General features: G+C 35.8%; 1 protein-coding gene across 2 annotated transcripts; it reads left to right on the plus strand.

The window, feature by feature from the left end:
• SH2D1A (SH2 domain containing 1A) lies at positions 702-27,299 on the plus strand. 2 transcript variants are annotated; one of them, NM_002351.5, is made up of 4 exons: positions 702-918; positions 19,900-19,963; positions 24,315-24,459; positions 25,490-27,299. In NM_002351.5, exons 1-4 carry the CDS (start codon positions 782-784, stop codon positions 25,528-25,530), a joined length of 387 nt encoding a protein of 128 aa, NP_002342.1. In that variant the 5' UTR covers positions 702-781; the 3' UTR covers positions 25,531-27,299. The 2 variants fall into 2 exon arrangements, with proteins under 2 accessions (NP_002342.1, NP_001108409.1); NM_001114937.3 differs by having other exon boundaries at positions 24,315-24,450.

The raw sequence follows: 27,963 nt of genomic DNA on the forward strand, positions 1-27,963 counted from the left end.
TTTGGATGTACATTGTGACTTTTGTATCTCAACTAGCACTTTGGGACCTTGGACAAGGTGTTAGGAAAGAAATCAATATTTGCTCAGGATCAAGACTTCTCAAGATGACTGCGTGAGGTAGAAGGAAGAGGGAGAAGAAGAACTTGCCCAGAGTTCACTGTTCATCTACTATGTCTGATTCTGTAGGAGTCTTCATGGCCATGTTCAGTAATGATTGCATACTGACAGTACTGATAAAACTATCAGTGTTTTGTTCTCAGAGCTCTTGGTCCTTTCATTTTGTCAGTGTGTTTTTGCCCTACGTAGTGGGTCCACATACCAACAGAGACATGTACAACTTGCCTCTATCATCAACTCCTTATGGGCTAGTTGAGCTAAGTTATTCCTGGTGGCCTCTGAGTAAACCGCAAGAACAGAAGCATTACTAAGCATCCCCGTCTGAGTGCAAGGGTGTGTGTTGGCAGTACAGCCCCAATCTTGCAAAATCCTTCTTCCAATGTTCCTCCCCTCTCTGTATGAACCCTGTGTTGGGGGGCAGAAGATGGAAGCCCTTGGCAAGCTCGATCGAACCAAGCTACTAAATTGCTGAGCTCGTTTTAACTGAAGTGTGAGAAGGAGGTTTAAGGCAAGTAGACAACATCCTGTTGTTGGGGTGCTTCTCTCTTTTTTGCACATCTGGCTGAACTGGGAGTCAGGTGGTTGACTTGTGCCTGGCTGCAGTAGCAGCGGCATCTCCCTTGCACAGTTCTCCTCCTCGGCCTGCCCAAGAGTCCACCAGGCCATGGACGCAGTGGCTGTGTATCATGGCAAAATCAGCAGGGAAACCGGCGAGAAGCTCCTGCTTGCCACTGGGCTGGATGGCAGCTATTTGCTGAGGGACAGCGAGAGCGTGCCAGGCGTGTACTGCCTATGTGTGCTGTGAGTATGATACGGTGGACATGGGCCTGCTGAGGGTGTGGGCGGTGGGCAACAGCAGCTGGGGCCAGGGTGGAGGCCGAGGCAGGCAGGGGCGCCGGCGTTAGCAGCTCGCCGACGCCTCCTCCGTGGCCCACCCTCAAGTCCAGCCCAGGGCCGTGGTGGAACACACTTTCGCCTCAATCCCTCGCTGGGGATTTCATTCCCTGGGCCTCCTGCTCTCCAGAAGGCCCTCACCAGAGCCTTTTGGGGCAGCTGCAGAGAATGCCATTTCGGGTGGTGAAATGTGGTCCACAGTTTACCTTCGCTCCGGGAAAGACCCAGGCTCCCCACTTCCATTTTGACCCCTATCGGGTGGCGCCCTGCGAGCCTTACTCTAGCTCTCTTTAAACGACTTTTGAAGTGTCATCCCAAAGGAAGAGCATGACATTCAGAGAGAGGAGGCACATTAAGAAACAGAGTCAATTACTTTAAGAATGCAATGCCAGTTAGGTCGAGATGCTGAGAGAGGAGGGGGATGTGTGTCAGTAAAATCACCTCTCTGGATCTGCTGATGTAGCATCCTTTAGAAAAGTAGTGGGGGGTGGGGAGGGGCAGGGGATTTCAGAAATAGGACCCTTCTTGATAAACGTTAGGACTCACAATAGTCTTAAAGGGAATGGAGGGAAAACACCCTTGTTATGATTCAGCTTTGCCATTTGCCTAGGCATGTCTCATTCTAAGGCTTCATTTTGAATCAAATTCATCTGCGTCTTTGCTCCAGGGCTCCGGAGTCAGGCAGATCTGAGACTTTGTCCTGTGCTCGTCAGATGTTAGGTTTGTGACTTGGGCAAATTAACCTCTCAGTTCCCCAGTTTTCTTATCCATTGAATAGGTATCATATTACTGCCTACCTCATAGGATTGTAAGATTAAGTGCCATAATGCAGTAAAAAAATTAGCACTGGGGCCTGACACCTAGTAAATGTTCAATAAATGTAAGCTATTGGTATTATTATTATACCAAAGATATATTATTATTTTATCTTCTCTTTTCAGTTGATTTCTTTTAGGAATCATGGGGGCATTTCTAAGGAAGGACCTAGCTCAGGCATTATTGTCAGCAGGATAAAAAAAAAAATCCATGAAAACAGCAGCCCTGCATTGTAGGTTCTAGACAGAAACCAAATGAGGTTAAATGCTTGGTAGTAAGTTCAGCATCTGATAATACCCCACAAGAGTTTGAAATACCTTATGGGTCAGTGAAGAAAGATTATCCTGATGCTGGTGCTAGAAGATTTTTCACTGTATATTGTTTTTTAAAAACGGTCAAGCCTTGTTTGTGGCAGCTCTCAGGTCATGCTAAATACATTTTTCACAAAGGCTTCAAGGGAAATACGTGGAAGCTATTGAATGTCTTGGGCTTGAATCTTTATGTTTTGCTTATATAATTATTGTTCCCGTGTGGAACCTAGGGAAGGGCAATGAAAACCAGCTAGGATTCTTAGGCTCTTTTCTCATTGAAAGAAGGTGGAGTGAGTGGGTGGGTGAAAGGCGCTGCTTTAGGGAAGCTGACAAAGGAGATAACATGCTCCTTAACCCAAAGGTGAAAAAGAATGTACAAAACAAGTCTGGGCAGGGGAGGGACAACAGGGTATAGTGAGAGGCAAGATATACCTAAGGCTTCAGCCTCACGGGGCTCCTGGCCGTTTCTCAAGCTCCTCAAAAATGCCCCCACTTAGGATTTCTGCGCTTATTGTTCCTTCTGCCCAAAATACCTTCAGTTCACATGTTTGTTCAACTGTCTCCTCCCTCAGAGAGGACTTGCTTGACCACCTATCTAGAACAAGTGCCCTCTCCCTGTCCCTGATACACTCACTCCATCTCTTTATTTTTCTTCAAAGAGCTTTAAACTATCTGATAATTTGCTTGTTTACCTACTTATTGCTGGGCTGTCCTGCAAAAATATAATCTCCATGAGGGCGGAGATACTGTCTCCATCACCAGAAACACAGGAACACATAATAGGCACTCAGCAGATATTTTTGAATTAACAAACTGTCAAGGCAAATTCTGTTCTTTACTGCAATAAACGGAATGGCCATTGAGAGGTTAGGGTATGGACTCTGGGAAAGTCACTCAAATTCTCTGGGACTCAGTTTCCATATTTATAAAACAGGAATAGTAATGTGTATCCTACCTTCTGCAAAAGATTGCCTTAAGTACCTTATGCAAGAGAGAAGGGCAGCTTTAGACTTTTGCCTATGTAGGCCGGAACCACATGAGGAATTAACTTAGGCAGGTGAGAAATTATCAAGCATTTAAGTTTTCGCCCAAAGTGAATCTTGCATAAATGCAGTTTTTATGACTCTTAGTTCTCCATGAAAACCTCCTTGTGAAGTAGCGGAAAATACTAGACAAATTGGGAGTTCCCTTACGGTGTCTTTCAAATGGTACACTGGGGCCTCAAAGTCTTATGTGACTGTTAGGGTGATAGCCAGAATGTGCTGCAGAGGGAAGATATGAGGATACATTGCCTTTTATCAGTTTCTCAATGTTTTTGAGTTGAGTGTCCCTTTTGATAAATGTAAAAATTTCATTCCCTCTTTTTGGTGCTACACTGTAATTATAAAATCAGATTTTATTTAGAAATAAACCACGTACTCATTTTAAACCAGAACACTTATGATATGCAGTCGAAATAACAATATAAGTGGTATCATATACACATGGACAACAAGGTATAGCTGACAAACATGCATTGATTGTAGGGTTTACTCAGAATGGTTTCTCATTCTATCTTTTGTTTACTCCTATTAACCAAGAAGATTTAATTGAGCTATAGTTTTTATATTTTTATTGTAGAGATAATACATTTCATATGCCTTCAAACTGTACTTTAAACTGTACTTTCAAACGATGCTTGCCCTTTTCCCCAGTTCTGAACCTCCTAATCATGGCTTTCAGATATGGCCTTTTCTTCTGTTCTGATTTAGAAAATCGAAAATTGAACTGCTTCATAAAGCACTAAAGGAGTTTTCCATTTATAGGATTGCTCACCTTCATTTTAAGTAATAAGTATTTCTTTCAATTACTTTCTCTAAATAAATATAGATTTTTGTATAAGTCTATTAAAAATAGTTCCTTATACCTATTCATTATAGAAAATTTGAAACATATAGATAATAGAAATTAGAGAAAAATCATCTATAGTTTTATAACCTAAAGATGACTATTGCTAAAAATTAGGTGAATTTTCTTCTATATTTTAATAAGATGAATTGCTTTTTGAGCACGTGTGCTCTTACAATTGTATTCTTACGAGTGACGTATTTGACTACTAAAAAGTTTGATTTTTGTATGCGTCAAAAAAAGTAAGGGCAAACACCAAATGTTATATATTTATATATATATAAATATCTAATATATATAATATATAAATATATAATATAAAATATATAATATATAAATATATATTATATAATATTATATAATATATAATATATAAATATATATTATATATAATATTATATAATATATAATATATAAATATATATTATATATAATATTATATAATATATAATATATAAATATATATTATATATAATATTATATAATATATAATATATAAATATATATTATATACTATATATAATATATAAATATATATTATATACTATATATAATATATAAATATATATTATATACTATATATAATATATAAATATATATTATATACTATATATAATATATAAATATATATTATATACTATATATAATATATAATATATACTATATTATATATAGTATATTATATACTATATTATATAGTATAATATAGAATATATTATATATTGTATATAAGATAATATATTATATATTGTATATAAGATATAATATATTATATATTGTATATAAGATATAATATATTATATATTGTATATAAGATAATATATTATATATTGTATATAAGATATAATATATTATATATTGTATATAAGATATAATATATTATATATTGTATATAAGATATAATATATTATATATTGTATATAAGATATAATATATTATATATTGTATATAAGATATAATATATTATATATTGTATATAAGATATAATATATTATATATTGTATATAAGATATAATATATTATATATTGTATATAAGATATATTATATATTGTATATAAGATATAATATATTATATATTGTATATAAGATATAATATATTATATATATATTATAAATATGTATATTTTTATATATTATTATAAATATATATATTTTATATATATTATTATAAATATATATTTTTATATATATTATTATAAATATATATTTATATATATTTATATATAAATTTACATGTGTTAAAAATATGATTGTGTTCTTGTATTCTTACAATTGTATACGTTTCCCATTTCCCACTTAATATGAAAAAAATACACTCATATGTAATGTTCTTAGAGACAACTTTAAGATGTTATTTTTAATGGCTGCATGGTAGTCCAGCTAGCTAGTAAGTATACCATATTTTGCTTAGCCAGTCACCTACTTTTAGACATTTGACTCATTCCATATTTTTGTTATTATAAATTCCATCAGGATGTATATTTCAGTACATTAAAGTTTCCTTGCATTTATGATTATTTCCTTAGAATGAATTTCCAGTGTGGAATTTCTAGGTCAGAAAACATAAACAGCTTAGGATTCTTGATATATACATGATCATGAGATATTTTCCCTAAATGGTTATTCCAATTTACATGCTCACCTGTAATGCATCAGTGTCCATTTCACCACACCCTCACTAGAAGTGGGTATTGTAGTTAAGAAAATTTTCCCTTGACATTTGGCCTGTTATTCTTTATTTTATATTTACACTCTATCTCTTTATTTTCCACATTTTATATTCCTTTGGTTAGTGACTGTCATTTTATATGGTTGTTAAGCTGTTGTATTTCCTCCCATGATTTGGCTTTTTGTGTATTTTTCTCATTTAACCAGTTGAATCATACTTTTTTTAAACACACTCTATGTGTATATATATATATGTGCACTAATCCTTGATCTATTGCAAGGTATCCTTTCGAAGTTTGGTGTTTGCCCTTACTTTTTTGACACATACAAAAATCAAACTTTTTTAACACATTGTAAATTTATATATATACTAATCCTTGATCTGTTGCAAGGTATGTTTTCTAAGTTTGGTGTTTGCCCTTACTTTTTTTGACACATACAAAAATCAAACTTTTTAGTAGTCAAATACGTCACTCGTTTTCTTTGTGTTTGATTTCTTCCTTGGCTAGAAAGTCCTTTCCCCTTGAGATATGTCATAAAACTTCACTGCAGTTTTTGTTTTAAATTACGGTTTTGTTAGTTTACATTTACCTCTTTAATTCCATTTGGAGTTGTATTTTGATGTGGATAAAAGATCTAATTTGATTTTGTTTCCAGATAGCTAGCAATTGTCCTAATATAATTTATAAATACAACTTCCATTCTTCATTGATTTGCTAGCCGACTTTACCATATATTAAATTCTTATATATAACAGTTACTGTTTCTGGACTATCTATTTGTCTCAATTGATCCATTTATTCTTGCACTGATAGCACTATAGTATGATAATGTTTTAATATATTTTAAAAATTATTTGCTATTCTTATCTGTTGGTTCTTCAAAATGAAATCTAGAATCATTTTATTAAGTTAAAAAAAATTCATTGGACCAAATGTTTTAGCTCTCACATGCCAGTGAGAACACATGATATTTGTCTTTCTGTGCCTGGCTTATTTCACTTCACATAATGACTTCCAGTTCTATTTACATTTCTGCAAATAACAGGATTTCATTCTTTTTAATGGCCAGATAGTATTCAATTGTATATGCATAGCACATTTTCTTTATCCATTCATCTGTTGCTGGACTCTTCTATATCTTGGCTACTGTAAATAGTACTGTGATAAATGTATGGGCGCAAGTATCCCTTTGATATATTGATTTCCTTTCCTTTTGATAGATACCCTGTAGTGGGATTCCTCAATCATATGGAGATAGAGAGTAAAATGATAGTTACCAGAGGTTGGGAAGGGTGGAAGGCGATGAAGAGAGGTTGGCTAATGGGTACAAACAGACAGTTAGATAGAAGAAATAGGTTCTAGTGTTCAGTCGCACAGTACGGTGACTATAGTTAACAATATCTTATGTATTTTGAAATAGCTAGAAGAGAGTACTTGAAATGTTCTTACATATAGAAATGATAAATGTTTGAGGTGATAAATATCCTAAATATTCAAATCCCCTGATTTGATTATTACAATGCATACATGTGTTGAAACATCACACTGTACCCCATGAATATGTACAATTATTATGTATCAAAAATTTTTTTGAAAACACCATTGGGGTTACATTAAATTTATTAATAAACTAAGAATGAATTGTCATCTTTAAATAATTTAGTCTTCCCTTCCCATAACATAAGTCTCTCCATTTATAATTTTTTTGTTTATATCCATCAATCAAGTTTTATAGTTTTCTTTTTGTATGTCTTATACATTTTTTGTTATTTCGAGTTATTGTGTGTATGAATGTGTATGCTGATTTTTAAAAATCATAAATGGGATCTGTTTCCACTATATTTTCTGTTTCATAGGAAAGCTACTGATTTTATGTTCTGTTCTTGTATTTATCCAGTGTACTGAATGCTCTTATTAATGCAGATAGTTTTTTTTTTAAGTTTATTCCCTTTGTTTTTTTTAGATACATCAAGTTTCTTTTCACTGAGGTACATATGTTCTCTCACATTTCTTCCCTTCTCACCCTCAATGTAGACAGCCATTGGGAAAGTTCTGACTGCCCAGTGGGATTGATGGTGATAAGACGAGAACTAATTTAAAATATTTAAAATAATTAGCTCAAAAAATAGTTTATTTCCATAGTTGGCATCCTTCTGGACATATCTGCCTTTGTTTGCTACTTATCTGATGGAAGATTTGGAAGAAGAAATGCTGTTATAATTCTTTAGCTTCAAGGACACATAATGAAGTCATTTGACATGTATGTCTTTAGATAAATGCATAATTATCTTTTTGTCCTTTAAGTTTTAAAGGGACAACTGGGAATAAAGTGCCTGTCAAACAACTGAACTGGAGAAATGGGGGAGGAGCAGTGATGAAATAAAATTCCAGTTTATCAGTTGCAATAAAGGGGAACAGTGTGGCAAAGAACTTGAAATTATAACTTAACTTCATTTAGTGAGAAATTACAACTTGCATTTAGTTTTTGAATTCAATTGGATATGTGCCTTGGTGCCACATTTATCTTCATGATAACTTAGGCCACCAACATTATTTTCAATTTCCTGAATACAATCCAGTGGTAAAGTGAGCCTGAAAGCCAGCCTAGGATTGTTTGCCACATATAAACCACCGAATGGATAATTCACGGCAAATAAGCCAAGTACTGACTCTGGTTGACAATGTAAAATTAAAGTTGCAAGATTAGCCTGAAGATGTCATTTAGCTTAAGCAAAGGGGGAGTCTGGGTTGATCTCTTTCGGGCTCTCCCCACCTGGCCTCTTCCCTTCAGCTCCCTCCACTGCCCTCCTTCTCTCAGTGGACAGTTCTAGCTCCATGTCCAAGCAGATTCCCTCCCTTTTTGAGAATTGTGCTTTTGGAATTGTCTTAAAGACCAATTTGTTAATACATTCCCTCTAGTATAAGAGAGGGGCAGCACAGAATGGTGGTTAAGAGCCCAGATCTTCCAGCCAGATCTCTGGGTGTGCATCCCAGCTCTGACCCTTAACTAGCTATTTTCCCTTGGGCAGGTTACTTTAACTTTCTGTGTCTCAGGTTTCTTACCTGTAAAACGGCAGATGGTGATAATGAGAGTACTTACCTCACAGGGTTGTTATGATGATTATGACATGAGTTAATATTTGTAAAGTTAACATGTAATATGTGTTTTTTAATATGAATAAAAGCTCTATAAATAATTGTAATACAAAGTTAGAACATCATAAGTATACGTAAATAAAACTTGATATGGAAGTTCAGGGGAAGAAGTGGTTATATTTATTTTCATGACTCATCAAAATATCACATAGTTTTACCATCACACTTGAAGTTGAATGACTTTCAACTGTTTCAAAAATTAAAATTCTCTCTGAAAGAATAAAGTTTGGGCCATTGTAAGTTTGGAAAGCTCTTGAATCAGAGTATAGTCTCAAAAATAATGGCTTTGTGTAGGATACTATTCCTCTGGATATAAAAGTTCTGAAACGTTTGTTAAAAATCATTATAGTTGTGTCTTGAATTTTGTATGTAGCATTAGTTCGTATAGACGTAGAGGGCATAGGTACTGGCTTGCTTTATTTGAAATGTCATGAAGAAGTCAGATGTAGCTAAATGTTTTCTTTTGTGTAGTACTTGACGTGGTATAAAAAAGGAATTGATGTGGATTTGTCAGTTCTAAACCAGGATCTGTCCCCAACACTGACCCACTGAGAAAATAAGAAATAAGTCAGGTTGGTTGCTTCTTGCTTCTTGTCCATTTCTAACCTGGACACTTTTTTACAGTTAGGGACAACTTTTGATGAAATAAAGACAAATTTCAATATCAGCAGAGACTAGATTAACACATGCTTTATAGTAATTAAAATAAATTAAAGGCAATGATAAAACTCCACCGTTCTTTAACAATTATTCATGTTCTGATTTTTTTGGTGATACATTTTAAACTCTAGGATTATCAAAAAGTCCAAAAAAGCTTTAATGAGGGAAGGAAGTTAAAAGTACACTACATTGCTGGTTTGTCTGTATTAAGGGAGGGAGTCAGAGGAAATATAATCCTGAAGGGGATGTAACAATTTAAAAAAATGAATTACATTTTTATGAGTTGTGATTTGCTTAGGCTAGGTTTGTAAGGCTCCAAATTGTAATTCTGCTTGTTTTTCTTAAAAAATTAGTCACTTAAATAACTACATGAAAAAATAACATGCAAGAATGCATTTACGTTAGTTTAAATTTACTTCTAGTTTATATACACACAGGGACAGACAGTTTTGAATAGTTGTAATCAGAGTGGCATCCCCTTGTGCCCACTTTTTACACATACTGTCATTTTATTTTTTTATTTTTATTTTTTGTTTTGTGTGTGTTTTTTTTAATACTTTAAGTTCTAGGGTACATGTGCACAACGTGCAGGTTTGTTACATATGTATACATGTGCCATGTTGGTGTGCTGCACCCATTAACTCATCATTTACATTAGGTATATCTCCTAATGCTATCCCTCCCCCCACCCCAGGACAGGCCCCAGTGTGTGATGTTCCCCTTCCTGTGTCCAAGTGTTCTAATTGTTCAATTCCCACCTATGAGTGAGAACATGCAGTGTTTGGTTTTCTGTCCTTGCGATAGTTTGCTGAGAATGATCGTTTCCAGCTTCATCCATGTCCCTACAAAGGACATGAACTCATCCTTTTTTATGGCTGCATAGTATTCCATGGTGTATATGTGCCACATTTTCTTAATCCAGTCTATCATTGATGGACATTTGGGTTGGTTCCAAGTCTTTGCTATTACACATGCTATCATTTTATGTCAACATAGTCCACATACTTAAAGTTTTCTGGAAAACCTAAGACTCTAACATTTTTGAATTTTGGCATAAGATTTTATTTGTTTATTTATTTATTTATATTTTTTGAGACGGAGTCTCTCTCTGTCGCCCAGCCTGGAGTGCAGTGGTGTGATCTCAGCTCACTGCAACCCCTGCCTTCCAGGCTCAAGCGATTCTCCTGCCTCAGCCTCCTGTGTGGCTGGGATTACAGGTGCGTGCCACCACACCCAGCAGTTTTTTGTTTGTTTGTTTTGTATTTTTAGTAGAGACAGGGTTTCACCATGTTGGCCAGGCTGGTCTCGAACTCCTGACCTTGTGATCCACCCACTTCAGCCTCCCAGAGTGCTGGGATTACAGGCGTGAGCCATCGTGCCCAGCCAGCATTAACATTGTAAACCTTCACCTTTGACATAGAAAGTGTAATTTTGAACCATTGTTTCTGCTATAATTCCTTTATTTTTCCCTAATTTATATATTTATTTCTAAACTGGCAAAATTGTATATATGTATTGTGTATGACATGATGCTTTGAAATATGTATACATGTGTAATAGCTAAATTGGGATAATTAGCATATGCATTACCTCACATACTTACATTTTGTGATGAGAACACTTAAAATCTACTCTCTTAGCAACTTTCAAGAATACAATACATTGTTTTTAACTATAGTTGCCACGTTGTACAATAGATCTCTTGAACTTTTTCCTCCTAACCTAAATCTTTTATCCTTTGACCCAAATTTCCCAATCCCCACCCTGCACGCCCCTACGAGCCCCTGGTAGCCACCCACCATTCTACTCTTGGCTTGTATTAGTTCAACTTTTTAAGATCCCATGTATAACTGAAACTACGCGGTATTTGTTTCTCTGCGCATAGCTTATTTCACTTTACAAACTGTCCTCCATATTCATCCATGTTGTTGCAAATGACAAGATTTCCTTTGTGTTTAAGGCTGAATAGTATTCCATTGTGTATATACAACATATTTTCTTTATCCATTCATCTGTTGATAGACATGTAGGTTGATTGCATTATGTCTTGGCTATTGTGAATAATGCTGCAATATACATGAAAGTGCAGATTTCTCCTTGACATGATGATTTCATTTCCTTTTGATATATACCCAGCAGTGGGATTGCTGGATCATATGGTGGTTCTATCTTTAATTTTTTGAAGAACTTTCATACCGTTTTTTATAATGGCTGTACTAATTTATATTCCCACCAACAGTGTGCAAGGGTTCCCTTCTCTCTGCATCCTCTCTTGTTGTCTTGTTTTTGATAATAACCATCCTAACAGGTGTGAAATGATATCTCATTGTGGTTTCATTTGCATTTTTCTGATGATTAGTGAGGTTGAGCATTTTTTCACATACCTGTTGGTCATTTGTATATTTTCTTTTGAGAAATGTCTATTCTGGTCCTTTGCCCATTTTTATTTTATTTTATTTTTTTTGCAATGGTGTCTCGGTCTGTCGCCCAGGCTGGAGTGCAGTGGCGCGATCTTGGCTCGCTGCAAACTCCACCTCCCAGGTTCATGCCATTCTCCTGCCTCAGACTCCCGAGTAGCTGCCTTTGCCCATTTTTAAATGGGATTATTTGTTTTCTTTCTATTGAGTAATTTGAGTCTCTTATATATTTTGGATATTAACTCCTTATCATATGTATGGTTTGCAAATATATTCTCCCATTCTGTAGGTTGTCTCTTCACTCTGTTGTTTCCTTTGCTGTTCAGAAGCTTTTTAGTTTGTTGTAATCCCATTTATCTATTTCTGCTTTTGATGTCTGTGCTTTTGGGGTTATACCCAAAAACAATTCCCTTATTTTGAGCAATTATTCCTTATTTAGGGGTGCTTAGGTTAGTTCCATTTTTTTCACTATTAAAATAGGGCTAGTATGAAAATCTTTGTCAAATTGCGTTTTCCTCTTGACTTGTTTCCTTGGAGTGTATGAAGATAAGCAAGGTTATGCAGTCAAAAATATGTATGGTTTTATAGGTCTCGTTATATAACTTGCCAGTTTGAATAGCGATTTTCCATGGACAGGGACAGAGTATGTTTTGTTTGAAAAGGCATATTCAATATTTTAGTTTAATTTTATGTTACAAAATTACTGGTTTATAATAGAAGCTATAGAAAATAAAACTAAGAAATATTATTGGGGAAGAAAGGAAAAAATGGTTCAGAAACACTGTCCTGTGAAGACTGAAATGATTGACAAACCTTCAGCTTATACTAAAATAAAATTGCATTCTTAAAGCATAGACTGAATGACTACGGAGGAGGTGGCACAGAACTGCCCTGGGCAGGTGGAAGAAGCCAGGTTGACAACAGGGAAGTTGCCATCAATATTCCCAATGAGATGTGGGCATTCGCTTTACATTTTAATCAGTCCTTCTGTAACTTTAATGTTCATACAAATCACCTGGGCATCTTACTAAAATCCAGATTCTGATTTAACAGGTCTGGGTGGGGCCTGGAAGTCTACATTTCTAACAAGCTCCCAGGTGATGTTGATGCTGTTGTCCTGGGAATGCAATTTGAGTTGCACTGTTTTAGATCTCTTCCTTGTATGACATATTATAGTAAGAGTTGACTACAGGGGATCCTTGGTCAGTTACTTCAGTAACTTGAAAGTGAAAGATATAAACTGCTGGCCTATTTGAGGGGTGAAACAATTTTGCTCATTCAGAAATTGGAGGGGTTGTGGGGAGAAGGAAATTGTTAATATTAGATGAGTTAATCATGAGAAGTTTTATGTACCATTCACACCAGGTTGTTCAGAGACTGAAGGAGGTACGAAGTTTTGAAGTGGTACTCAGGTTCCTGCTACTTAACTGAAAGTGAGATAAGATCAGATTCGTTAGGAAACAATTCTCAAAACAGACTCATTTACTTTGACTAAATGCGTCTGAATGATAGTAGGGAGATAGAGTCATTGTATTTTTTAGAGACCCACTGTTTTAGAAAGTGGAAAACTTGTTGCTTACCATTCTGCTTATCTTGTTGCTGAGATTTTAAATAATGAATCTCCACATCACCCTTATGATACTGAATTATTGCCATTAATCATTTCTCATAGGGAAAATGGAACTAAGAACCTATGCTGTTTCACTGCTTCCATCTCCATTTTGCTATGTGGCTTTAAGAAAATCACTTAAAGGCTTATGTTGAGTTCCCATGGTGAAAAATGGAAATCAAAGCTCTTGCCTTGTTCCCCATAGAGTACTTGCTGAAGTTAGTGGGCTTTGAGGTAGATTTCAAGTGTTTAAAAAGACAAAAGACTTTAACATTGTAATATTGTATATTTATTCAGCATATTATATATAGGCATATATCAAGCTATTTTATATATGATCTAAATATTCTGGCAATCCTTCGTAAAAAATAAAACATCATATAATCCACATCAGTAGTTAAATTGACCTTTTGTTCAGTGTCACGAATCAAGTAAATCTGAATAGTGTGTTTCAGATTTGTTTTGGCCCTTTAGGTAATCAGTTCTGATGCATATTGATGAAAGATATAGTAATTTTTTTTTTTAGATGGAGTCTCACTCTTGTCGCCCAGGCTGGAGTGCAATGGTGCGATCTCAGCGCACCGTAACCTCTACCTCCTAGGTTCAAGTGATTCTCCTGCTCCAGCCTCCCGAGTAGCTGGGATTACAGGTGCCCACCACCACGCTAGGCTAATTTTTGTATTTTTAGTAGAAATGGGGTTTCACCATGTTGGCCAGGCTAGTCTCGAACTCCTGACCTCAGGTGATCTGCCCACCTCAGCCACCCAAAGTGCTGGGATTACAGGCGTGAGCCTAATTTAATTCACATATTTAAATACTTTTATTTCCAAAGGAGGTTAATGGTAAATGTGATCATCAAGTCAAGCATGACACTCTGCTTGTAAACACATTGATTTTAACCAGAGTTCAGTGCATGTCCTGGCTAGGTGTGGTGGCTCACACCTGTAATCCTACTACTTTGGGAGGCCTAGGTGGGAGGATAGCTTGAGGCCAGGAGTTCAAGACCGTCGTGGTCAACAGAGCAAGACCCTGTCTCTGCAAAAACTAAAAAAAAAAAAAAAAAAAAAAAAAAATTAGCTAGGCACAGCAGTGTGCAACTGTAGTGGCAGCTACTCAGGAGGCTAAGGCAGGAGGGCAAGGCTGCAGTAAGCTATGATCACCCTACTGTACTCCAGCCTGGGTGACAGAGCAAGACACCATTAAAAAAAAAAAAAAAAAAAAAAAAGCATGTGTCCTAACCAAAAGATCTCTATTGACCCAAACTTGTGCCCAAGAATAGCAATCAGAAAATTTATGAAATGAATGATTTAGATTCACATTCAATTGATTCACAATTGATTTTGATTCACATTCAAAAACTGAAACAATTCATTATAAAGTTTACCTTACTGTTTTATGAGGTAAAATTTTATTAGGCAAATTAAGTAGGATTACTATATATACTAAAATATAACAAATAATCTATATCCAGTACAGTGTGGGGATCAGGAACTGGGGATCTAGAATCAAATGGGCCTGATTCAAATCCCATTTTTGCTTCTTAATCTCTAGACTGATTTTGGTTACTTAACATCTCAAAGTCTCAGTTTCCCCATCTATAAAATAAATATTACAACATAAACCTAATAGGATTTTTGTGGGGTCCAAAGGAGATAATGCATGTGCTAGAAACTTAACTTTTTATCCTCCTAAATTCACACGTTTAAACCCTTACCTCCAATATGCTTGTATTTGGAGATAGGACCTCTAGGAGGTAATTAATGATAAATGAGATCATAAGGATGGGGCTGTAATCTGATAAATTTGGTGACCTTATGAGAAGAGGAAGAATGCATGTACAAAGAAGAGGTCATATGAGCACACAGCAAGAAGGCGGCTGTCTACAAGCCAAGAGAAGAGGCTTCAGAATGAAACATACCTTACCAGCACCTTGATCTTGGACTTCCCAGTCTCCAGAATTGTGAGAAATAAATTTCTGTTGTTTAAGCCACCCTGTCTATGGTATCTTGTTATGGCAGCCTGAACAGACCAATACAGATTTTGGTACTGAGAGGAGGAGTATTGCTGTAACAAATACCTAAAAATGTGGAAGTGGCCTTAGAACTAGGTAATGAGTAGAGGCTGGAGGAGTTTTAAGGTGTATGCTAGAAAAAAGCATAGACGGCTGTGAACAGAATGTTGGTAGAACTATGGATGTTGCAGGTTATTCTGATGAGGTCTCAGATGGAAATCAGCAACATGTTACTGCAAAATGGGAGAAAGGTGTTCCTTGTTATAAATGGTAAAGAACTTGACTGAACTGTGTTCTAGTATTTTGTGGAAGGTGGAATTTGTTGAGTAAAAAAATTGACTTTTTATCTGAGGAGATTTCTGAGCAAAAAGTTGAAGGAGTGGCTCAGTCCCTCCTGACTGCTTATGGTAAAATACAAAAGGAGAGAGATGAATTGAAGAAGGAATTGTTAAGCAAAAGGGAACTGGAACTTAAACATTTGGAAAATTCTGAGCCTTTATGTATTGCAATAAATGAGGAAGCTTGTTCTGGAGACAACACTAAGGGTGTGGCTGGACTATCTGTCACTACTTAAGATTACTTATGATGTTAACCAGCCATCTGAGCAGAAGTCAGGAATAGAGTTTGGAAAAAAGCAGCAGAAATATTACCAGTTTGGACCAAAGAGAACAGGACAGTATGGTATAGTTATTTGGCTGCAAACATGGTTTATCTTTCAAGAAAAGGGAAGAACGACCCTGAGGGTGATTCAGAGATAACCAGGGCTGCCATTCCTACTATAGGCCCAAAGTGCACAGGCCTGGAGGGTAAGGCTGCCTCTACCTTGGTTTCAAAAAGTGAGACTGACATCCAACAGAGCCACATAGGTGGGGCCATCACCCTAGCCAAAGGATGTGGCCACCTTACAGAGCTGTGGGGGTGATGCTGCTTTTCCAGTGAACCTGAAGGGCAGAATATTGAATCGAAGAGGATTATTCTTGAGCCTTAAGAGCTAATGGAGTTTGCCTTGCTAGGTTTTGGACTTGCTTGGGACCTGTGACCCCTTTATTTCTTCCAATTTCTCCCTTTTGGAATGGGAATGTCTATCCTCTTCCTGTAGCACCATTATATTTTGGAAGCACATAGCTTGTCTGGTTTCATAGTTTCACAGCTGAAAATAAATTTTGCCTCAAGATGAATAATACTGCTAGTCTCACCCACATCTAATTTTATTTAGATGAGACTTTGGACTTTAGATTTTAAGTTGATGCTAGAATGAGTTAATTTCTTTTGAGGCCGTTGGGATGGTATAAGTGTGAGAAGGACATGAGTTTTGGGGGTCGAGAGTGGAATGATATAGACTGAATTGTGTTCCCCCATAATATGTTTAAGCTCTAACTTCCAACATGACTGTAATTGGAGATAGGGGGTAATTAAGGTTAAATGAGTTAAATCATAAGGGTGGGGCTCTAATCTGATAGGATAATCATAAGTGTGGGGCTCCAATCTGATAGGATTGGGGGCCTTATTACAACAGAAAAGGCTGTCTGAGTACACAGCAAGAGGTCAGCTACTCACAAGGCAAGAGAAGAGGGCTCAAAATGAAACTTATGTTGCTGGCACCTCGATCTTGGACTTTCCAGCCTCCAGAACTGTGAGAAAGTAAATTTCTTTTATTTATGCCATTCAAGGTATGGTATTTTGTTATGGCAGCCAAGCAGACTAATACAGCAAGTAAAACTCTTGGCATGTAGTAGAAATCAATTAGACAAATATACAATATAGATATAAACTGAGTAATGGGAAGGAATGTTTACCCCATTTAAAAGGATAAGCTGCTTTTAGGAAAATAAAGTTACAACTAAGGCACTTTGGAGATAGTCCTAGTTTACAGAATTTTAGAGTTGCTCTTCCACAAAAGTATAATTTAAAACAAGCAGCACTTGTTTTTAATTCATATATTTTTTACTATTACTTCATTTATAATATATTATAGGGTAATATAGTAATACAGTCATGTGCAATATAGCAACATTTTCCTTAACGACGAACAGCATATACAATGGTGGTCCCATAAGATTATAATGGAGCTGAAAAATTCCTACCACCTACTGATGTTGTAGCCATTGTAATGCCACAGCACAATGAATTACTTATGTATTTGTGATGACACTGGTATAAACAAACCGACTGTGCTGTCAGCTGTATAATAGTATAGCACAGGCCAGGTGTGATGGCTCGCACCTATAATCCCAGCACTGTGGGAGGCTGAGGTGGGTGGATCACCTGAGGTCAGGAGTTCAAGACCAGCCTGACCAATATGGTGAAATTCTGTCTCTACTAAAAATACAAAAATTAGCCAGCCATGGTGGCATGCACCTGTAGCCTCAGCTACTCGGGAGGCTGAAACAGAATTGCTTGAACCCGGGAGGCGGAGGTTGCAGTGAGCTGAGATTGCACCACTGCACTCCAGCCTGGGCAACAGAGCGAGACTCTATCTCAAAAAAAAAAAAAAAAAAAAAAAAAAGAAAGAAAAAGAAAAAGAAAAAAATGTATAGCACAGACAATTACATACAGTACACAATACTTGATAATGATAACAAATTACTGTGTTACTGGTTTATGTATTTACTGTACTATACATTTTATCATTATTTTAAAATCTACTCCTACTTATATAAAAAAAAGTTAGCTGTAAAACAGCCTCGGGCAGGTCCCTCAGGAGGTATTCCAGAAGGCATTCTGGAATATGAATATCATAGGAGATGACAGCTCCGTGTGTGTGACTGCACCTGAAGATCCTGCAGTGGGATAAGATGTGGAGGTGGAAGACAGTGATACTGATGATCCTGACCCTCTCTGTAGGCCTAGGCTAATGTGCGTATTTGTGTTTTAGTTTTTAACAAAAAAGTTTAAATAGCAAAGAATACATAAAATAAAAATTTTGAAACAGAGAAAAGCTTATGGAATAAGGATATAAAGAAAAACAGTTTTGTACAGCTGTACAATGTGTTTGTGTTTTAAGCGAAGTGTTATAAAAGAGTCAAAAAGTTTAAAAAAATTTACAAGTTTATAAAGTAAAAGAGTTGAAGCTAAGATTAATTTATTATTGAAGCGATACAGTTTTTTTTTTTTGAGACAATCTCGCTCCGTCACCCAGGCTGGAGTGCAGTGGCGTGATCTCGTCTCACTGCAACCTCCGCCTCCTGAGTTCAAGCGATTCTCCTGCCTCAGTGCCTCAGCCTCCCAAGTAGCTGGGACTACAGGTGCGTGCCACCATGCCTGGCTAAGTTTTTGTATTTTTAGTAGAGATGGGGTTTCGTTGTGTTAACCAGGATGGTCTCGATCTCCTGACCTCGTGATCTGGGAAATATAAATATTTTAAAATAAATTTAGTGTAGCCTAAGTTTACAGTGTTCATAACATTCTAGTAGTGTAATGTCCTAGGCCTTCACATTCACTCACCACTCACTCATTGACTCACCCAGAGCAATTTCCAGTCCTGCAAGCTCCATTCATGGTAAGTACTCTCAACAGGTATAGCATTCTTTATCTTTTATACTATATTTTACTGTGCCTTTTCTATGTTTAGATAGGTTTAGATACACAAATACCATTATGTTACAATTGCATACAGTATTCTGTACAGTAACATGCTGTACAGGTTTGTAGCCTGGAGTAATAGGCTATACCACATAGCCTAGGTGGTATACCATATAGGTTTGTGTAAGTACAGTCTATGATGTTTGCACAACAACGAAATCACCTAATGATGCACTTCTCATAATGTATCCCCCTTGGTAAGTGATGCATGACTGTGGCAATATTATATTGCTATACATTATAATAGTAATTTTATAAAAATATAGTTATATTCAATTTATAGTATTATATCCTTATACTATTGCCATTATATTTATAACAAATATTATTAATATTAATAATTATTTATGTGGGCCTGATAGTGTATTATCCCAGTGAAATGTTTTCACCTTAAGTTTCGATATGTACTTAAAAATAAGTCTATTGTTTGTTAAAACTATCTAATAATTCATGGTTTTATCAATTACAACAGGTCCCTGTTGTAGTTTCTTTCTGTCCAAATGGTCTCTCAACTTGACAAATCTTTAGGAGCATGAATTTCCATATTTCAAAAAATGAAAAGATAAAGAAATCTCACTGGAAACTGTGGTTGGGCAGATACAATATGGAGACAAGTTAGATTCACTATGCTTTACTTCCTATGAATGCAATGACACCATATACGTGTGTCCTAGTATATGTGACATTTATATGTAATATTAAGCTCAAATTTAAAGTATCCATTGTTCTTTTGGAATCTTTCAGTAATGGAAGTTTATTCTTTCACAGGTATCACGGTTACATTTATACATACCGAGTGTCCCAGACAGAAACAGGTTCTTGGAGTGCTGAGGTATAGTTGTATTTATTTTTGCTTCTGGGGGTGTCAAGGAGGTATTTGAAATTTAGGCTGGTTTTATAAAAGAGCAAATTATACATTATTAAGTATTCATAAGGTTTAAATCTCTAAAGCTCCAATCCAAAATTGTTCATGGATCATTAAGAAAGCTTTAGAGAATTTTGGTCCCAGTCCTGTTTAGCCATCATTTTGCAGAGTTGTATGACTTTGGGAGAAAGATAAAAAAGTTGAAGAATTATGTCAAACTTTTAGTGACTATGTGAAATCTTAGCATATCAAAAGTAGGTAAAATAATTAAATGAACAATTATTTACCAAATGATACCAATATGAGTATTGGTATCGTGGGAGATTAAAAAACATGATGCTTATTTTCTAAGAGACTACAATATACTTGGGAAGTTATAACTTGAAATTAAACAGTTATGAGTGGAAGAAACTAGGCTTTGTCAACAGGTGAATCTGGGTTCCAGGTCTGGTCTCCCCTCCTCTCTGATAGGTCTATGATCTTGGGCAGGTTACTTGACTTTTCTGTGAGCCAGTTTCTTCATTTGTAAACGGAGCCTAAGAATCCTCCCTTATGCACAAGGCTCAATTTGAAAAGTAAATAAGATAACACACATAAAGAAGCTGTTTGCCACAAGGCCTGGCACACAGTGAGCCCTCAAAAAAGTGAACTCCTGAAAATTGCCACAACTCCTATTAATAACTCAATCTGTGCATTTAAAATTTTCTGAAGTCTAGACTTCAAGAAGTTAAAATAGCTCTCACGTTTACTGATTTATCAGTAAGTTGGAAAGTATAAATTACAGACCACAAATGTTTTGAACCACTGAGATGAATTAGGCCAAGTTTTCAAACACACTTTTGCTGTATTATGTAAGGATCATTAAAACTATAATACTAACTAAAGATAAAGTTATACCATTTCTAATTGAAACTATTTATACCTGTTTATTTAAAAAATTCTCTGTATCACTGCAGAGATGATTGAATAAGAAATTAAACTTTATTATGAAGAAAGTTATGTGTAAAATATACTGACAAACACACACACACACACACACACACACACACACACACACACACACGTTTGTATATTATTTCGCCAGAAATAGCTCTTCTCCCCAGAGAAATACCCTTCAGCTGCTGAAGAATATTATGTAAGGAAAGGATCTTAAATGCTTAGGGTTTAACAACTTTGTTTTTCAACTTGTTTTCCTGCATTTTGAGTATAACATCATATGAGATTGTTACATGCTTGTGATCATGTTAAAGAAGAGAGGGCTTATTGAACACAAATGCCCCCTCATCCTGTTGTCTGATCTGACGTTGTTTATGTAATAATATTGTAATTTTCTGCACCAAGAGAGCAGAAGATTGGCATGACATCCGCAAATAGAAAATAGTTTAAAAAATTCTTTAATTTTTGAAATGCATATTGCATTTTTTTCTATCTACTAAATTTACCTTCTTAGCAGTGCTTTTCTAAGGTGAAAATTAAACTAGTGTATATTCTCAGAGCTCATACCACCTGACTGGAAAAAATTTCTCTAGAGCATATTGAAGACCAGCTGTGATCTAATACATGTTTCCATGGATAACTAAGAGGTGACAGTATGGGAGATTTGCAAATTTGAAGAATAGCTGAGTTCAGTGACAGGATGAGAGTTGTCAGTGGTACAATTCTTGTGATAAATGTATTTTCGAAACTGGGTAAATGATAGATATTAATACTGATTTTTGGAACAATGTTTTAGTTTGCCATGCTGCAGGAAAAATCAAGGCAGTAGCATGCCACCATCTGTGCATATATTATGCTAGAAATCTAGGTAAGTGAGATTTGTTTTAAAGAGTGTAATGAAATCAAACCCTGGCCCCACTGAATTATGAAAGACAGATATCATGTGTTTTTCTAGTTTTAGAGAGACTTTTAGGTTAAATCTTTGCCTAGTGTATTATCTTATATGACTCAGACTAAAAGTTTGTTACATTGTTAATTTAGATAATTCCACAATCTACTTTCATTTATTAATATGTGATTTGTTGGCAATACATTATTAAAAATGTACTGACATCACCCTGTTGACATCAGTGTCTTCAGGCTTTACTGGGTATATGATCAGGAGATCAGCAGATGTTAAATAATTGTCCTTATTAATCTAAGTAAAACACTGTAAAATAGGCCAGTCATTTGCTTATGAAACATCAGATCCCCAATTCAAATAGCTTCCATACTTCCAGTGCTATTATTCATTTCTGTTAGCATGGATAATCAAGTGTTAGCTACATATCAGTACCCATAAAAATGTTGCTTCTCTGTTTTGTTTTGTTTTGAGACAGAGTCTCACTCTGTCGCTCAGGCTGGAGTGGTGGAATGGCCCGATCTCGGCTCACTGTAACCTCTGCCTCCCAGGTTCAAGTGAGTCCTGTGCCTCAGCTTCCCAAGTAGCCGGGATTGCCACCACACCTGGCTAATTTTCATATTTTTAGTAAAGCCAGGCTTTCACCATGTTGCCCAGGCTGGTCTTGAACTCCTGACTTCAGGTGGTCCGCCGGTCTCAGCCTCCCAAAATGCTGGGATTACAGGTGTGAGCCACTGTGCCCGGCTATGCTTCTGTTGATAAATGACTTTACAAGCCACAAGAAGCTAAAAAGATGTGTGGTTTGAAATCTTTCCACACTTTAGGTGTGTATAGTTTTTCTTCTGTTTGATGACCCTAGCTTCGCTAGATCCTGTTTGGCCCAGTTCTAATCTGAAAGGCAAGAGACTGGGTCCTGGGATTCTGAGCCAGTTCTGCCTCTGGTTGTCTGTGTGACTTTGGGCAAGCTGATTAATTTCTTTGCATTCATATTTTCTTATCTGTCAAATGGGAATAACTGAATCAGCCAATAACTGCCATTTTGTGAGGAAATAGTGAAGGCAAGAGATAGGAATGTGCTTTGAAAATGAAAAAGTGCACTGAGGAAAGTATAAGGAGGCAATTTGTGCCTATGACCTGCATTTGCAATTTGGAGACTCTATCTTGGAACCAACGAACTGTTTGGACTTCTGCAAGAATGGCCATGTTATTTTGGATGAGTTCTCAATCGAGCTTTAGGAAGGTGGAGGGTAGGTGAGAGAGTGGGGTGGAGCTGGGTGAGAGAGTGTTCTACATCTACTGTGAACATATGGGGGAACACTAATATAGAGCTAAAAAGAATTTTTGTCATGTTTTCAATGAAAAATTACCCCAACATAAGGAAATGACTGAGAGTTACTATGGATAGTGTAGTATGCTATCTTCAGCATACCACTATCTAGCTGACAGAAGTCTTCATGCTCGCCTTCATGTTTTCTCATTAAATGCTAAAAAAACAAACAGCTCCCACCTCAAAAATCTACCAGATGGAATAGCTGAAAAACAACTTAAAAAAAAAACTAGTCATTGTTCAATTGCTCATAGCAATACTATTTTATTTTACGTAAAATGACAGGTTTGAGCTGATGCCTGAAGCTTGGCTCATAAGCTTTTGCAGGAAATTGTTGTTGATTTCAGGCAGTGTCTTTGCAAGACAACTGATGTCAGGAAAGGAACACATTTTAATAGTCACCTGCAAATAACTGTCTCTTTAAAAACACACAAATAAATAAATAAAGGTGACCTTATATAGTCTTTCATTTTCATGTCATAGAGAAAACCTTGTTACAGTGACGTGCTGATGGAGAGAACAATTTTGGGAGTATAGGGAAGTTTCCCAAGGAGGAAAAAATTTAATGTGAAGAATGGCGCAGGAAATATTGTGAGGTGAAAGAGTATGAGGACTGAACTAGCCGTGCACTGTGTGCATCATAACAGCCAATTTTTAATTTCCTGTGTAGCATTTTATATTGTGGGATGATGGCAGGGAGGATGGGTTGTTGGTTTTTCTTTTGTTGTTGTTCCTCAGGCTTTTTATTAATGACCTGTAGGATCTGTTTTTTTGTTTTTGTTTTTGTTTTTTCCTGTTTAACTGCATCCCCTCTGTTGGTGAATTCATTGTGGGTAATGGCCTGTATACCCTTAGAGGTTTGAGATGTCTGATGGGGAGCAGGCAGGAAGGGCAGGGCAATGAGCAAGAGCTTGTACAAACTAATACCACCTTTGGGAGAACTGAAATGACAGCTCATTAGCTCCTCTTGCAGGGAAATTCAGCCAACCAAAGTAAGCTCTTCTGGAATGTTGTTTTTCCTTCTTCCTTATGTTTTCAAATATTTCAACAAGTTACACAAATGTTACTTCTCTTAGCATCCCTAGCACATTTTGTAGGTCTTTTTGTATCATTATGAGATAGGTAAATAATTTGCTTGGCCTTTTATTTTCCAGACAGCACCTGGGGTACATAAAAGATATTTCCGGAAAATAAAAAATCTCATTTCAGCATTTCAGAAGCCAGATCAAGGCATTGTAATACCTCTGCAGTATCCAGTTGAGAAGAAGTCCTCAGCTAGAAGTACACAAGGTACTACAGGTATGATTTCCTCTTAATTTTTGACAGGGTTTGGAAGCTCAGAGTTATGAGTCAACCTGTTCATAACCATATAATCAATTAGAAGTTATGTAAGAAAAATGCAGTGAGAAAGTAGATGTAGCCAGCAAGTCAAATGAGAGGTGACAATTTATGTGCTATAATTTTCATCTATTATTCTAATAACTTTTAATAAATCTCTGTAAAAACATCAAAAATTCTATAAGCCCATAACATTTTAACTGCTCTTGTCTGTCTCATCTTGTTCTTTCCTGTCCCTTTAATAGGTAGCTAAGTATGATTTCACTTCACTAATTCAGACACAAATAATGTGAAAGATGGTATAATTCAGAGAACACCTGGGCTGTCCTTTATCTTTGCTTAGTAAACTGTTTTTTCCTTCAGGGACATGAAAGCTAACGTTAGCCTGGCACACATGATTCTGATTTCTGAATTGGTGGTGCTTGAATTAATGACATTTTTCTGAAGCAAAGGAAATTAAATAGTGCACTTTATTGTTCCACTGGCACATATTGTTACATATCCTGAGCAAACCTATTTTAGTGTATGTGTCGTGCTAAAGACTGAATACCAGCCAATGTCTGTAGCTATCTGATACGTGACTGTTTACTCCTCTATTGAATGGGGTTTATCATTTGTTTGGAGTAAGAGGATAGGCCTTGATTGAAACAATAAATATTTATGATAAAAGAAAACGAGTCCCTTTTTGACAGGGACCTAGGCTCAGGCATAAACTGACAATTAGACTCAAGTGGTGAATTAAATTAATGAATAGTTAGCCTTTATAATACAAATGCAAATAGAGCTCTAATTTCCAAGTTGGCTAGTTGTTTTTTTCTGCCTAATATTCCATTCTTTATAACTCAGTTTTAAATAATAGTTGCTTGAGGTATATTACTGTGTTGTGTCATTGTGAGTTTTATGCAGTTGGAAATTTTATAAGTTTGAGTTAATCTGTAATTTTAATAGTTTGTAAGTTTATTTTTTCTTGATTTTTGTTATTTTTCTTTAGGGATAAGAGAAGATCCTGATGTCTGCCTGAAAGCCCCATGAAGAAAAATAAAACACCTTGTACTTTATTTTCTATAATTTAAATATATGCTAAGTCTTATATATTGTAGATAATACAGTTCGGTGAGCTACAAATGCATTTCTAAAGCCATTGTAGTCCTGTAATGGAAGCATCTAGCATGTCGTCAAAGCTGAAATGGACTTTTGTACATAGTGAGGAGCTTTGAAACGAGGATTGGGAAAAAGTAATTCCGTAGGTTATTTTCAGTTATTATATTTACAAATGGGAAACAAAAGGATAATGAATACTTTATAAAGGATTAATGTCAATTCTTGCCAAATATAAATAAAAATAATCCTCAGTTTTTGTGAAAAGCTCCATTTTTAGTGAAATATTATTTTATAGCTACTAATTTTAAAATGTCTTGCTTGATTGTATGGTGGGAAGTTGGCTGGTGTCCCTTGTCTTTGCCAAGTTCTCCACTAGCTATGGTGTCATAGGCTCTTTTGGGATTTTTGAAGCTGTATACTGTGTGCTAAAACAAGCACTAAACAAAGAGTGAAGGATTTATGTTTAATTCTGAAAGCAACCTTCTTGCCTAGTGTTCTGATATTGGACAGTAAAATCCACAGACCAACCTGGAGTTGAAAATCTTATAATTTAAAATATGCTCTAAACATGTTTATCGTATTTGATGCTACAGGATTTGAAATTGTATTACAAATCCAATGAAATGAGTTTTTCTTTTCATTTACCTCTGCCCCAGTTGTTTCTACTACATGGAAGACCTCATTTTGAAGGGAAATTTCAGCAGCTGCAGCTCATGAGTAACTGATTTGTAACAAGCCTCCTTTTAAAGTAACCCTACAAAACCACTGGAAAGTTTATGGTTGTATTATTTTTTAAAAAAATTCCAAGTGATTGAAACCTACACGAGATACAGAATTTTATGCGGCATTTTCTTCTCACATTTATATTTTTGTGATTTTGTGATTGATTATATGTCACTTTGCTACAGGGCTCACAGAATTCATTCACTCAACAAACATAATAGGGCGCTGAGGGCATAGAAGTAAAAACACCTGGTCCCTGCTCTCAGTTCACTGTCTTGTTGGACGAGAAAACAATAACGATAAAAGACAGTGAAAGAAAATAACGATAAAAGACAGTGAAAGAAAATAACAATAAAAGACAAGGAAAAAATAACAATGAAAGTTGATAAGTACATGATAAGCGAGGTTCCCCGTGTGTAGGTAGATCTGGTCTTTAGAGGCAGATAGATAGGTCAGTGCAAATACTCTGGTCCATGGGCCATATGAAAAGGCTAAGCTTCACTGTAAAATAATAACTGGGAATTCTGGATTGTGTATGGGTGTTGGTGAACTTGGTTTTAATTAGTGAACTGCTGAGAGACAGAGCTATTCTCCATGTACTGGCAAGACCTGATTTCTGAGCATTTAATATGGATGCCGTGGGAGTACAAAAGTGGAGTGTGGCCTGAGTAATGCATTATGGGTGGTTTACCATTTCTTGAGGTAAAAGCATCACATGAACTTGTAAAGGAATTTAAAAATCCTACTTTCATAATAAGTTGCATAGGTTTAATAATTTTTAATTATATGGCTTGAGTTTAAATTGTAATAGGCGTAACTAATTTTAACTCTATAATGTGTTCATTCTGGAATAATCCTAAACATATGAATTATGTTTGCATGTTCACTTCCAAGAGCCTTTTTTTGAAAAAAAGCTTTTTTTGAATCATCAAGTCTTTCACATTTAAATAAAGTGTTTGAAAGCTTTATTTACCTAATTTGTCTTGAAATATTCCTTATAATTCCTTATAAAATATTCAGAGACTGATGCTATTAATAAACCAAATAAAGGATTGATGATTATCTTATCGGAGTGATTCCCTGGAAAAGGTAAGTGCTTTTCTGATTTTATTGCTGTCCAAGTTCCCGGTTGATGAGCCTACTTCCTGTCTTCTTTGGCTGGCCTTTTATTCATCAAGTTTTTTTTTTTTTTTTTCACCTTTTCTTTCCCAACATGAGCATCCTTGCTATTTTCCAGTACGTAATCACTTGCACCTTTACAGAAAGGTCATATCCTTGCTGTATCTAAAATATTGCCATGCTAACATATTGTAAGATGCTGAGTCAAGGTAGAAAAATGCACAATATATTTCCAAGTGTGCAGCTCTCTTCAGAAAAAAAAAAAGTGTGTCAGCAAGCCCAAAAGGAACATGACAGCTTATCAAATACTTATTCATTTCCTCTGAAATTTGTTCTTAAGAGATAAGGTCAGTAGGGAGACAAGCTTAGGTAATTGTCTGTTTGGCTGTTACAGGCAGGGAACCTTTGTGGTAGTGCACAGGTAGAATAAGTCTATAGAGAATGCCTCTGATTAAGTCCTCTGCTATAAATAAAGGGCTGGATTTAAGATATTCTTTCGGGTAGAATGGACACAGAATTAAA

The sequence above is a fragment of the Homo sapiens genome, chromosome X (genome assembly GCF_000001405.40).
Source record: "Homo sapiens chromosome X, GRCh38.p14 Primary Assembly".
Lineage (NCBI taxonomy): Eukaryota > Metazoa > Chordata > Mammalia > Primates > Hominidae > Homo > Homo sapiens.